Here is a 14,644-nt window from a genome sequence, read left to right on the forward strand (position 1 = left end):
TGCTGCTTTCTTCCACAACTATCCCAGTACATAGGCTTATTGAATAGATTGCTCTCCTCCATAATCTTTGGTCGCCCATTTGCTTTCTGTCTTTCAGCAGCTGTGTATTCTCTCAATCAGATCATTTCAACAGTACTTTTATTTTCACCAATCAAACCCTGAGCCACCTCACCAATATGTGTGGCATGCAGAAGACGTATGATTATTCTCATTTTACATACAGAAGACCTGAGGCTCAAAAATGTTTACCATCTGTTGCCTGGCTAATAAAGAGTGGAAGCAGATCAGAACCATTGCCTTTTCCAGTGATCTTTCAACCACTGCACTCCAGGATGCTGCCTCACGGTGCTGTGTTGAATTGGGGGTGTGCCTGTGTGTTTTCCTGTTTTGTACTTTTACCTGTCTTTCATCACCTGGTATCCATAGGAGTGGCCAGGTGGGTGAAGAGAAGTATAAATGCTGATGGTAACGTAGGCAACCAACCATATCCTACAAGGCCACTACTGGCATTGATGGCCTTGCCCATGGTATCCAGAGGGGACTATACAACATGATCAGCCTCTTGCTCTGTCTCCTCATAACTGGCATTCTTCCAGCTTTGAGGGGTAAATATTTAATAGAGTAGTATTCTAGTCATAGATATTTTGTTACACTATGCTTTAAATTGCATTGCAGGTCAAATGTTTGCCCACTGAACAGACAGTGCCTTTCCTTATGGGTGTACAGCCAGGCTATTTTACTCAGCATTCTCTGCAGTTAGAGTTAGGTGTGGCTATGTGACTGGGTTCTGGACAGTGATATGTGAGTATAAGTGGTATATTCCACTTCCATGTCTGTCCCATAAAATAATTCTGTGTGATTGCCTATTTTCTTCTATCTTCTCTCTGGATGCTAATATTCTGGGTGACGTTAGAAGGCAAGGACTGAAGATGGCAAAGCCTTGAGAAGCCTGAGTCCTCGAATGTCAGAAAACAGTGACCTCCCCTGTGTTGGTGGCCAATTGGACTTTAGTGAACAAGAAATAATCTTCTGGAGCTTCTGGATAGCTGACCATGTGGAGGTTCCTAGAAGGCGGTGTAACCAGGGAGGGCAGGGAAGCTCCATACCCCTTCCCTTATACTGCACTCTATAGTCTCTTCTGTATCTTTTGTAATATCCCTTATAATAAACTACAAAATGTAAGTAAGTGTTTCTCTGAATTCTGTGAGCTGCCTCAGCAAATTAATCAAACCCAAAAGGGGATCATGGGAACCTTAACTTCAAGGTAGTCAGACAGAAGTTCCAGAGAGGCTGGGTGGGTGGCTCACACCTGTTATCCCAGCACTTGGGGAAGCAGAAGGATCACTCGAGCCCAGGAGTGTGAGACCAGCCTGGGCAACATAGCGAGATCTCATCTCTACAAAAAATTTTAAAAAGTTAACTGGGCATGGTGGCACGTGCCTGTAGTCCCAGCTACTCAGGAGGCTGAGGTGGGAGGATCATCTGAGTCCAGAAGATCAAGGCTGCAGTGAGCTATGATTGCACAGCTGCACTCCAGCTTGGGTGACAGAGTGAGAAGTTGTCTCAAAAAAAAAAAAAAATTCTTAGCGAAGTTACAGAGATTTTAAAGTTTATCTGTTACAGTAGCTAGTATTCCATTAGTTATACATGTATATAATAATGCATCCCCTTTCAACTGTAATATGAATCCTATATCGCAGCTAACATTGTGGCGGGCGCCTGTAGTCCCAGCTACTCGGGAGGCTGAGGCAGGAGAATGGCGTGAACCCGGGAGGAGTTTGCAGTGAGCCGAGATAGCACCACTGCAGTCCGGCCTGGGCGAAAGAGTGAGACTCCGTCTCAAAAAAAAAAAAAAAAAAAAAAAGACAAAATGTAAACTGTCTACATCTAGGTTAACACAATACATGTTATAGTAATCTGTATGTATTTATAACAAGATTTGAAGAAATAAAGAATAAATTCAGTACTTTTTTCCCTCTCAAAAATGTTAAGAATGGTCAAGGGTCTCTTAACCTCATCCTGGTTACTATTCAAAAATTGAAGAGAATCAGTCCACCTTGACCCATTTTGGCCAATAGAGCGATACGGGGTCTGTCCATGGTCCTGAAATCTTTAGCATTTTCATCAAGTGCTAAATTTGCAAACTTTCCCAAACCTCATCATCTTTGATGTGTACAGTACTTCTTATATAACTTACTCATCATATACTTATTTTTCTCCTTCAACAAATCGCCATTCGCTTTATGTTTCTTTTCTTTTTCTTTCTTTCTTTTTTTTTTTTTTTTTGAGACAAAGTCTCACTTTGTCACCCAGGATGGAGTGCAGTGGAACGATCTCTCTCACTGCAGCTTCGACCTCCCTGGTTCAAGTGATCCTCCCACCTCAGCCCACCAAGTAGCTGGGACTACAGGTGTGTGCCACCATGCCTGGCTAATTTTTGTATTTTTTGTAGAGATGGGGTTTCGCCATGTTGCCCAGGCTGGTCTCGAACTCCTGGGCTCAAGTGATCCACCTGCCTCCGCCTCCCAAAGTGCTAAGATTACAGGCATAAGCCATCACACCCAGCCAGATTTTCTACTGTGATTCATGACATTACCAAAAGTCCACCATTCTACATGTTCCCTTACCAAAAATATGAAGCCTTACAACTTTTTCCCAGTGAGAAGGTATCTTTCCAATTTATTATCTCTTTTACTCACTTGATGTTAGAGTCTGTGCCACTTGAAACTTTTGGTACTGGAAAATGTCCCCAGTGTCAATGGAAGAATGTTCTTCTAACCATAATTCCTCATACCAGATTAAATACAGAACTGCCCTCTTGAAGGGCTTAATGTTTTGGATCCCAGATTTATCAGATTTGTCAGGACACAATTACAAATATTTTTTGTCTTAACCCAATTTAAAGACATTTGTATGTAAAGTGGTTTGTCTAGGCTACTGTTTTAAGTAGCTTCTGTAGAGAGTGAGCAGTGAAGAGTGTAGACCCTGAAGTTATACTGCCTTCAGATCTCAGCTTTACAGTTTACTATCTGTGTGACCCTGAGCAGATTACTTAAGCTTTCTATGCCTCAGTTTCCTTATCTATAAAATGGAGATTATATTTGAATTCTATCTTAGAGATTTATTGTGAAGGTTGAGTGAGTTCATACAAGTAAATGCCATAGAATAGTACCTGGCACATAGTAAGTGCAAGCTATTGTTATTATCTTTAAAACTCATAAGAAAATAGAATGGGTTGACAAGGCCATTTCCATGTGCGTATCTGCATTAGATAACTGCCAAAATGATTTCTCTTGTCAGAAGTGCTGTATGTGCAAGTGCATATCTGAAAGTCTCCAGTTGTGATTTCTTTGGGGCTTTGCCTTCACCTTTCCGATGAAGTTTACCCTTTTAATAATCTGTCTGGCTCCATCTCGGCCATTGTTATTTACAAAAACCAAACCCAAAACAAAACAAACAAACAAACAAACAAACATGTTTAGAGAAACCGAAAACAAAAGTCTTCTAACTTTGCTAAAGCCAATTAGACCATACATTATCAACCAGGGCAGAATGGAATCTAGGGACAGCTGTGAAGTTTGTCTTTGGAGATCCCAGCCTCCTCCTTCAGAATATTTTCCTCCTTGATATGAATTTTCCTCCCTTTTCCATGAATGAAGTCATTTCTCTACCTTCCTTCCTATTGGCAGACCCTGTATTATTTTCAGTTGTAAATGACTAATAAAGTTCAATTCCTGGCCCTTCCCAGGAGAACATGCTACAGATATGGAGACTAAGCTTTAGGGCAAAAAGATACATTTCTAATGTGAAATTTAAACTATTAGGTAAGATGAGTATTTTGTGGCCACACGTTCCTTTTAAACATTATTATAAATAGCTACTTTTGAAAACTTTCTTACATGTCTGGGTCTGATTAAGGGTTTGCACATTAATTCATCCTGAATTGAATTGTCAATGTGCTGAATGGACTCATATGTAGCCAGCAATGTATTGTTAAAGAACCATAAGCTGCAGCCTCTCAAAGAGGGATGCAGATCAGAGTAGACCTCCACACTCAGTAATGTTCTAATCTCTTGATTTGGCACAGGAGCTTGGTTTGCACTATTATAGATCTATAGCAAATCACAGTTTCTTATGTATCAACTGCATTCATGCGTTATGGTCCTTAATCACAGCTTAGGTGACATTTAATGGAAAGATCACTGTGCTAGGTTGAGTCAAAGCATTGACTCCTATATCCAGCTCTGCTGTTTACCTGGGTCACTGGCCCCTTTGGAGCTTGTGTCTGTAAAATGAAAACGGTGTCTCTTTTTTTTTTTTTTTGAGACAGAGTCTGGCTTTGTCGTCCAGGCTGGAGTGCAGTGGCGTGATCTCGGCTCACTGCAAGCTCCGCATCCCGGGTTCACGCCATTCTCCTCCCTCGTAGCTGGGACTACAGGCACCCGCCACCACACCCGGCTAATTTTTTGTATTGTTAGTAGAGATGGGGTTTCACCATGTTAGCCAGGATGGTCTCGATCTCCTGACCTCGTGATCCGCCCGCCTTGGCCTCCCAAAGTGCTGGGATTACAGGCGTGAGCCACTGCGCCCGACCAAAATGGTGTCTCTTAATTCAGACTGCAATCCTAATCACCTGGGCAGTTTTAGAATAAGCAGATTCTCAGACCCCACATCTGTAACATCTTTTTTTTTTTTTTTAAATAAGTAACTTGTAATTCAGCATGTTTGGTTGGGCCACGTATTCTATAATATAGCTGGATTGGGAATTACTGGATACGTCCATCTTTTAGTTCCTTTGGAACTTTTGATTGAGTGGTCGTTTTCTTCCTGAAAATTCTCACTTTGCTCTCTGTATAAGTGTAAACACTCATACACATTTCTTTTTGGAAAGTATGAGAGATGCTAGCATTTTCTATAACCAGCTTGGAGTAGATAGCATGCTGTACTTTGTGGAGGAGAGACAGGAAAACTAGTCAATCTCCCAGATATTCCTGATTCAGTCTGGCTCCCTAATCATCATGTGTTTGTATTATTTTAATTAACATAAATTTACAGAAGTTCCAATACACCTATTTCTTACATAAATAGAAAGGCATGCTTCATCAAATATTAAATAGAAATTATTTTTAGACTCTTTGCTCTGAGGCTTTTCTGTAGATATAAACAAGGGCTGACTGTATTGCACACAGGTACATGTATGAATGTAGAATATATATATGCAGAATGTATACGTATTCTACATATATATGTAGAATGTGTGACAATAAACTGATTTTCTTATGTGGCTCATAAACTAATTCAAAATTTATTCCGAAAGAGGCATTCCAAATGTCTTCTGAGTAATGGAATAATTATATAGGCCCAAATGTAAAGTACTAAAGGGCTTTGAGGAATGAAACTGAGTGTATACATTTTGGTGTTTGTTCTGTAAAGAAACAGATGCCGTCAAAGAATCTGGCTACTTCATAGATACACATATTTTGACTTATGTGCCCTCAAGCTATTACACCACTCCCTGGATCTTTGGAAAGGAGATAATGTAAATTTCCACAGGCTCGATTTGATTACTTTTCTAAGTTATTAAAGTAATTCTTTCAGATATATCCTCTGGAGCATTAGATAAGCCACCAAATTCAGAGTGTAACCTGTAAATCTGGGAAAAAAATATTTTGGCTCTTTTGAACCTAATTTGGGTTTGGCAGAAGTTACTCTAAATCTGTTGCTTGTTGTCTAACTCTTGATTAATTAATTTATGAATGACAATAAAATGTTTCATGCAGTCTTTCTGTTTTTCCCTTTAACCTTTAAAAACTGGAATAATAGATTTTTATCTCTTTCTGTCTTTTTGCCTATGGTCATGTGGTAAACATTGATTTCTTCAGCAACAAACCTCACCAGTGATTAAACAGCCCTAGTTGTAATGGTTGAAGTGATTAACTCCTGTTTTCTCTGGTACAGGTTAAGACGCCCTTGTGGACACACAGTGTGTTAAGCTACTCTGAGATGATTTGAACTTGGAAGCTGCCATAATGGTAATAATCCTGAAACAAACATGTCTCATGATGCATAAGTGCTTCCCTCTATTTTGTGTGGTGGCAGCAGCCGGAGAGACTGATGGATAACAGATAACTATCTATAAATAAAAATACATGCAGCATATTGTGGTACAGTCAACTCCATTAGGTATCACATATTTTTGTTGTGGTAGAGTTTAGTTTTAATGGCCTATTACTAAAAATTACATGTCCAGTGTGTAGTGAGCTGAAGCCCTGCTCTTCATGAATTAGCCAGTGCAAAGGAATAATCGGAACATGGGGATCTTCTAGGATGTTTGTCAGTACCCTCTATTTTTTTTCTTCAGGTGCCTGGATAGTGTGTGTTAACGTGTGTGTGTGTGTGTGTGTGTGTGTGTGTGTGTACATACATGCTCATACTGTATGCTTAGTTATGTGTATGAGTAGATTTTGTTTTTTTTCAGTAGGTTTGATTAGGATGTTTGAGGTGAGACTCAGCGAAAAACAGGGAGGCCTGTTGAAGAGTAATTGCTCCTTGATGGCAGAACTAAAACACTGTAAAGAGGTTAGCAACCCTATTTTATTGCCTGCAATGCAGAGATTTTGTAATTAGTAGTTTCATTAGAGAGTGCGAATGACTATTAAAGGGTTCAGCCAAACAAAGCATTCATTGTATTGGAAAATTTACTGTAATCCGATAGAGAAAGTACTGTTTTTGTGAATCATTTGTTAGGGTGGGTAAAGAGTTTCACTATCTAAAACCTTTCTCTTATGAAGAAAGGTTTTTATTCATAGGCTTTGACCTATATAGGACAGTGGTCACTTTGCTAGAGACCCTATTTGCATTTATCATGCTTGTGTCTGGCTGCATGGGGTTCCCTGGTCTAATTGCAGGGTATATTTTATTCAATTGACAGGGGTTGGTGTTCAACATGTTTTTTGGGAGTTGGGACAGTTGTGTTTGGCAGTGGTGTTGCCTGCTACAGATTTAATTTTTCAAGCTCTCCTACACTGCTGCTATAAGGCCAACAGAAACGTGCTAGTTTCTAAGCATATGCAGGTTTCCTGGCATAGAAAATGCTTATGGGGATGTGCCCACACACCAACTGTCTCTGTTTAGGAGTAGCTGTCCCTATTTTTTAACCACATTCACACTTTGTCGATCTAGAGGAGTACAGTGTATTTTAATCAAGCCCCAAGGCAGCTCTGTGGCTAGGTTAATTATAACCCTCTCTTATATTTGCACAGTGTTTTTGAAGCTTAGGAGCATTTCCACTGATCATGGTTCCTTTGATTTCCCAAGCTTTCTGTGAGGCAGGCAGGGTAGCTGGTATGACCCCATTTCACAGAGGAGAAAGTTGAAGTTTATGAGATTGAATGAAATGTGTCCAGTTAAGTGGCTAAGGCGGGTGGAGCCAGGCCTCTGGAACCACCATCTGGATCTCTCTCCATCACAGGCAGCCACACTCACTGACATCCCAAGGCTTGTGCTCTAAGGGGCAGTTAAATCCAGGAGCCCAAAGATACCCAGAGTAGCACTTCGTGTCATTTGTGGGTTTTCCCTACTGCTATATCTGTCATTTTCCAGCTACCTAGTCTTCTTTCAAGTGCGGAAAGGAAAAAAATTATTGCTCCCCAGGTGGGGTCAACTCATCTCTTCTGAGAACTTTGAAAGGAAGAAACCAGTCTAGACCTGCTGAATCACAATTGTGGTTGTAGATCACCGGGGTAGGAAAGAGAGGGGCAGTTGATAGTGGACATATATTGTCAGGCTGAGTTGAGAGTATAAAGCATTGAAACCAGCATGTTTTCTCTCTCGTATCCTCTTTGATTGGAAGTTGAAATTCGAGTGCCTTCAGAATCCCATGTACAATGATCACCTTTCTGAGTTTCCCTGTCTTCTTTCACTTTGCCTCTATTGGAGCACATATCATATTACACTATAATCTATTGATTTTTGTGTGTCTACTTTACCTGATAATGAGTTTTTTGAGGGCTCTATCTCATTTGTCTGTTTATTCTCATTTCTGTCACCCTGCCTGGCTCATAGTCAGTCCATGGGAAATGCTGGTTGACTGAGTGAATTTTTAACATTGGTTTTAGAAGGAGGATTAGGACTATCTTTGGGCTTCTATGTAGCTTTAGGGAACAAAATTTGACCTGGAAGAAACCTGAATTTGTACAATAATGAGATGTGGTTTTTGAATTTGTACCATATAATATGTTTTTTCTATTTATTTAAAACACTATTGCTGACATTTTCTCTGAAGATTTATTGGCAGATTTTACTAAGACTGTATTAGTGGTGGAATTATGGATTTTCCCTGGTAAGCCCTTATCATTGCAAAGAAAACAGGGTTGATTGGATTCAGGATCCTTTCAGGAACCAATTCCTCTGCATAATCACTGTTGACAGAAGAGTATCTTCCCTTGGGGTCACTGGGTATCATTTGAAAAAATAGAAACTATTTTCTTCTGTTCTCACCTACCCCCTGCCATGCACAACCGAAAAAACCATTCATGCATTTTCAGAGTGACCAGTTATTTTAGTTGAACCTGAGCCAGGTCAGAAATTTTATGAGTTTTGAATGTAAAACAAACATGATTTGCTTTTCCCCGACCTCCTGAGATGCAGGAGCTTCATCCTGGGCAGCTAGTAAGGCCTTTACCTCACTTGGAGACTGACGGCATGTGGGCTGTCCTGGCCCCTGCTGTAGAGGTGAAGGATCCTCTGTTTTCAGCCTGTATTTCGAGCACAGTGACCTATGGAAGGCTGAGGTGGGCCTCCTGTGGAGCTCTAGAAAACATTCTACTGCCAGCAAGAGAGATGACACTCCTCTCCAGGTGCAAGAATATATTAGAAGATGTGAGGAGGGAACTACTGCAGGGCAAAGCCGGGATTCTTTCTAGGGCTAAAAATGCAATTTGGCATTCAGAGTTTTATCCTCCCTCTATCTGCTGCTCTGTCTCTGCCCTCTCAGCCCTGTCATCAGCTACCTCTGCTGCTTTCTACTCTCTCGCTCATTGAGACTGAATCATGTCTCTTATTTATGGGCTATATTAGTTTGCTTGGACTGCTGTACCACAGACTGGGTGGCTTAAACACAAAAATGTATTTTCTCACAATTTTGGAGGCTAGGAGTCTGAGATCAAGGTGTTGGCAGGGCCGGTTTCTCCAGAGGCCTCTCTCCTGGGCTTGTAGATGCTGTCTTCCCCCTGTGCCTTCACGTGGTCTTTCCTCTGCACCTGTGTGGTCTTCATCTCCTCTTATAAGGACACCAGTTGTATTGGATTAGTGCTCCTTTAATGACCTGGTTTTACCTTAACTACCTCTGTAAAGACCCAAATACAGTCAGATCCTGAGGTCTCTGGGGGTAGGGGTTCAACATGGGAGTTTTAGGAGAATACAATTTGGTCATAACATGGCCTGAAAGTCAGAACTGTTTGTGAACTTTGAAGACAGTTGCATTGAATGAGAGTCACAGATCTGACTTAAGTCAGAGAATTACCCCAACCCCAGGGTGGCCTTTCATCCCAAAGTTGACATGATGGACGTGTGAGGTGGGAGAGGAAAGAGGGGCAAAGAGCAGGGGTCACTGTGGGAAAAAGGAAGGGCCAGCTGGCTAAACTGTCATTGTATGAGCAAACCCCTACTCCACCCCAAGATTTTATTTAAAAGAGGGAACATTGGCTGCTGTGGTGGCTCACGCCTGTAATCCCAGCACTTTGGAGGCCGAGGTGGGCGGATCACTTGAGGTCAGGAGTTCAAGACCAGCCTGGCCAACGTGGTGAAACCCTGTCTCTACTAAAAATACAAAAATTAGCTGGCGTGGTGTTGTGTGCCTATAGTCCTAGCTACTTGGGAGGCTGAGACATGAGAATTGCTTGAACCCAGGAGACGGAGGTTGCAGTGAGCTGAGATCGTGCCACTGTATTCTAGCCTGGGCAACACAGTGAGACTCCATCTCAAAAACTAAACAAAACAAAACACAAAAAACATATTTCTTTTGTTTTATTTAGCTACAAATAGAAATGCACATTAATATCATTTTCATTAAAAGCACTCTTCTCCCTAATTTCTCTCATCATTCGTAATGACTTCTTCCAAGTTCGAGCTGCTAAAGATGTTAGGGGAAAACCTAAAATGCTCTAAATAGCTCTAGAACAAAGTGTTTGGTCATTAGAAGACGATGAAAGCAAAGCCAGAAGTTTGCACAAGGTTCACATAATTCAAAAGAGCCTTTTAATAGAGCCTTTAAAAATGATTAGTTTGGGGCCAGGCATGGTGGCTCATGCCTGTAATCCCAGCTGTTTGGGAGGCCAAGGTGGGTGGATCCCTTGAGCTCAGGAGTTAGAGACCAGCCTGGGCAACATAGTGAAACCCTGTGTCTACTAAAAATATAAAAATTAGCCGGGCGTGGTAGTGCACGCCTATGGTCCCGGCTACTTGGGAGACTGAGGCATGAGAATTGCTTGAGCCTGGGAGACAGAGGTTGCAGTGGGCTGAGATCTCAGTCAGTCTGGGCAACAGAGTGAGACCCTGTCTCAAAAAAAAAAAAAAAAGAAAAGAAAAAAGGGTCATTTTGGGTCAGCCAAGGCAGAATTGTGAAAAGGTGAGTTTGTATTTATACTTGCATTTGACTTTGCATTCTTCATAGTTGTTTTTTGACAGTTCCAAAGTGCCCAGTGATTCTAAAACTGGGGTTCCCCTGCTTCCTAGGGAGTGCATGATGCCCAGGGCAGACATGGCACTCTTTTTCTAGCTTGTGCATTTTAAGATTATTTAGGAAATCAATTAAACCGTTAAATAATTTAACAGTATTTGTATATTAAAACACATAGATATATTACAGAGAGGAACATAAAATGCATCTAACTTTTAAAGTGAAAACATGATTCTTTAAAGACATTTAGGTTTTGGTGGGCCACACCCACCCTTCATTTCCCCTAGGAGTACAAGCTCACAGTTATTTCCTCTTTGGAGTAGGTTGACGGGTTGTGAGAAAGTTTTAGAAATACTTAAACTCTCTCTGAGATACCAGATATCTGGAGCCTTCTTTCTTCCTCAGGCCACTTTCTGAAGTAACAACTAGATAATTTGATAAACACATTTGTGTAAATGTGCTAATAAATGCTAACCTGTTCCTGGGAACCCAGTGGTCCTCCCCCATCATCACCATCTTCACTCCTGGATAAACTATGTATATTCTAATTGTTACTTTTAGTAATCTTGTCTCTGCCTCTCATTTACTGTATTCACTTAACACATATTTCATATTTATTGGGTGCTCATAGTGTGCCAGGCACTGTTCTAGGCATCCAAAATTCATGAGTCAAAAATAAACAAAATCCCTGTTCTGCCTGAGCCTAGTATTCCAATGGGGAGACAACAATTGGAGGCTGATGAATGTTTTGGGAAAAGATGGATCAAGGTAAAGAACATGGGGAGTGTGAAGTTGGGGTGTTGGTTTGCAATTTCAAATAGACTGGACAGGGAAGAAGAGCTCACTAAGAAGATGACATTGAGGGAGATACAGGACTAAGAAATATTTTTCTGGAGTAGGAGGGGGAAGAGAGAGGAAGCAGCCTGTGCAAAGTATCTAAAGCTGGAGTATGCCCAGTGTGTTTGAGAAACAGCCAGAAGGCTGGTGGCATGGAGTAGAGTGAGTGAGGGATAGAGCAGTAGAAGATGTGGTCACATAGGGCCACTGTCAGGTCCTGGCTTTTACTCTGAGATGAGAGGTTGTTGGACCATTTTGAGCAGACCAGTGATATAATCTGCTTTATGTTTTTCAAGGATCATTCTGGGTACTGTGTTGACAAAAGACAGTAGTGGGGGAAGAGTGGATGCAGGGAGATCAGTTAGGAGCTGCGTTTACAATGTAGGCATGGTGATGGTAGCATGGGTCACAGTGTTGGCAGTGGAGCGGGTGAGAAGTAGAGATACTTTAAAGGTACAGTGAACAGGATTTTCTGATGGATTGAGTATGTAGAGGGGATATGAGAGAAATATAGGACTCAGGGAAAGCTCCACAGTTTTGCGTGGCCAAGAATGGAGTTGCCATCAAGTAACATGGGCATTGAGATGGCTAGCACAGGCTTTAGGGAGATAAGGGCTTTGGTTTAGGGCATATTAAATTGGAGATGTCTGTTATACATCAGAGAGTAGGCACTTGGATATATGTGTCTAGAGTTTAGCAGAACAATCTGAACTGGAGATACAAATTTGAGAGTTGTCAGCGTTGATGGTATTTAAAGCTATAATTAGATGAGATCACCAAGGGAGGGGACAAGAGAAGATAAAAGGCCCATGGACTGAGGCCTGGGACACTATAACAAAAAGAGTTCCTGGAGAAGAAAAGGAATGGCAAATAAGATTGAAAAGATGTGATTGGTGATGTGCTAGAGTTTGTGGTGTTCTGGAGGTCAAGTGAAGAAAGTGTTTCCAGGAGGAGGAAGTGGTCTGTGTCAGATGTTGCTGGTCGAACAGCTGAGGACTGAGATTTGACCATTGCATTTGGCAATTTAGAGGTTATTGGTAGTATTAGCGGTGGAGGAGTAAAAGCCTGATTGGACAAGGTTCATGAGAAGATGGAAGGAGAAATATTGGAGGCCGTTAAGAGAGAGAACTCTTTAAAGATGATTTGTCATAAAGGTGGTAGAGAAATGAAGCATTAGCTGGGACAAGAAGGGATTTTGGGAGAAGGATTTTCAGAGATGGGAAAAATAACAGCATATTTGAATGATAATGGCATGGTCCAATGCAGAAGGAAAATTTGCTGATATGGGAGAGAGGGAGAATCGTTAGAGTGATGTTATTGAATAAGCACAAGGAGATGGAACCCAGTGTGCAAGTTTGCATCCAGAAGGTTCATGGGCAATCCATCTATAGTAGCAGGAAAGAAAGCAGAGTGTGTCATGGTTAGACTCGTGCTGTTAGGTAGACAGATGTGGTACTGGGAGTTTGTGGAAATTCTTTTGATTGCATCAATTCTTGGTATTGAAGGATGCAAGATCATCACCCAAGAGTGAGATGGGGGAGCAGGTGATGGAGGGGCGAAGAGGAAGGAAGACATGTGAAATAACTCTCCAGATGCTTGAACAAGTGGGTGGACTTAGACTTCCAGTATCCCGGCAGGCAGGTTTTGGGCTCACTTGAGGGCTGTGGTCCCAGGTATAACATGAGACTAGTTTGGCATGATTGTGTGTTTTTTCTCTAGCAGTGTTCTGCTGTGTTAGCAAAAGCATGGAGAAGGCAGAGAGTTGGAGTTAACCAGGAGTGTATTAGTCCGTTTTCTTGCTGCTGATAAAGACATACCTGAGACTTGGCAATTTACAAAGGAAAGAGGTTTAATGGACTTAAAGTTCCACGTGGCTAGGGAGGCCTCACAATCATGGTGGGAGGTGAAAGGCACTTCTTACATGGTGGCGGCAAGAGAGAGAATGAGAGCCAAGTGAAACGGATTTCCCCTTATCAAACCATCAAATCTCATGAGACTTATTCACTACCATGAGAACAGTATAGGAGAGACCGCCCCCATGATTCAATTATCTCCAACTGGGTCCCTCCCACAACATGTGGGAATTATGGGAGTACAACTCAAGATGAGAGTTGGGTGGGGGACACAGAGCCAAACCATATCAAGGAGTTAGTTGGAAGTGAATGAGAGGCATGGGAATGGAGTGATATAGCGCCTGGTGATGGATTCTAGGCTGAGATATGTGGACCAAAAGGACAGGAAAAGGTAAGGGGTGGTGAAAGGGTGATGGGATCAATGTGTTGTAAGTCTTGGTGGAGTTAAATGATTGATGGAGAAATGAATATTAGAGAGAGTAAGCTGGAAACTCAGGGGGTGGTGGACAGAGTGTGACACGTGAAATTGTGATTATGGAGGAGTTGCAGTTATTGGCAATGACAAAGCTTTTGGATTCTTACCTGATCTCCTGCTCTCACTTTTCAAAGGCCTGGGTTCCTTTTCTTCAGTATACTTAATTCAGTTTAATTCATGTTTATTGGTGTGATTGTTTCCTTTGCTAGATTGTAAGCATTGCAAGGGGGGGACTGTGTCTTTCTCCTCACCATTAACCCCCCTTGTCTAGGACGGAGGCTGGCAGATTGTAGGAGCTTGATAAATAATTGTGGAAAGAAAAGTAAGTCCCATGGTGAAGGTAGTTAATTTGGGAGAAGCCTGTGGCAGGAGATGGCTGTTGTGGCTTTTGATGACACTAACACAGGAATAAAAAACTGACTGTTGGGCTGGATGTGGAGGATCATGCCTGTAATTCCAGTGCTTTGGGAGGCATAGGCAGGAGGATTGTTTGAGTCAAGGAGTTCAAGGCTGCAGTGAGCTATGATTGTGCCATGGCACTCCAGCCTGGGTGATAGAGCGAGACTCTGTCTCTGTCGCTCTCTCTCTCTCTAAAAAAAAAAGACTCTTAAGCAAAAATTAAACAGGATTTTATAAAATTTATGACTTATTGATTAAAAGATAAATAAAACCCTATGCCATTTTAAAAATCCAATTTATAGGAAAAAAGGTACATGGTAGGAAAAGTAATGATTGGATTTTAGCAGCTTATTTCTTTAATAATTTTATTTAAAACCGTATCTTTTAATTTGGTGTGTGGTA

General features: G+C 41.5%; 1 protein-coding gene across 4 annotated transcripts in view, besides 1 other annotated feature; it reads left to right on the forward strand.

Annotated features, from left to right (window-relative positions):
* Positions 1-14,644, forward strand: part of TMEM178B (transmembrane protein 178B) — a 437,233-nt gene that overhangs the window by 21,461 nt on the left and 401,128 nt on the right. The window lies entirely within an intron of this gene.
* Positions 2,002-2,202: a silencer, noted in NCBI's record as "peak6794 fragment used in MPRA reporter construct". NCBI's record gives its function as "represses an SCP1 promoter by STARR-seq MPRAs in K562 erythroleukemia cells {active_cell/tissue: K562}" and the evidence as "EXISTENCE:reporter gene assay evidence [ECO:0000049][PMID:32103011]".

This window comes from Homo sapiens, chromosome 7 (assembly GCF_000001405.40).
Source record: "Homo sapiens chromosome 7, GRCh38.p14 Primary Assembly".
Taxonomy (NCBI): Eukaryota; Metazoa; Chordata; class Mammalia; order Primates; family Hominidae; genus Homo; species Homo sapiens.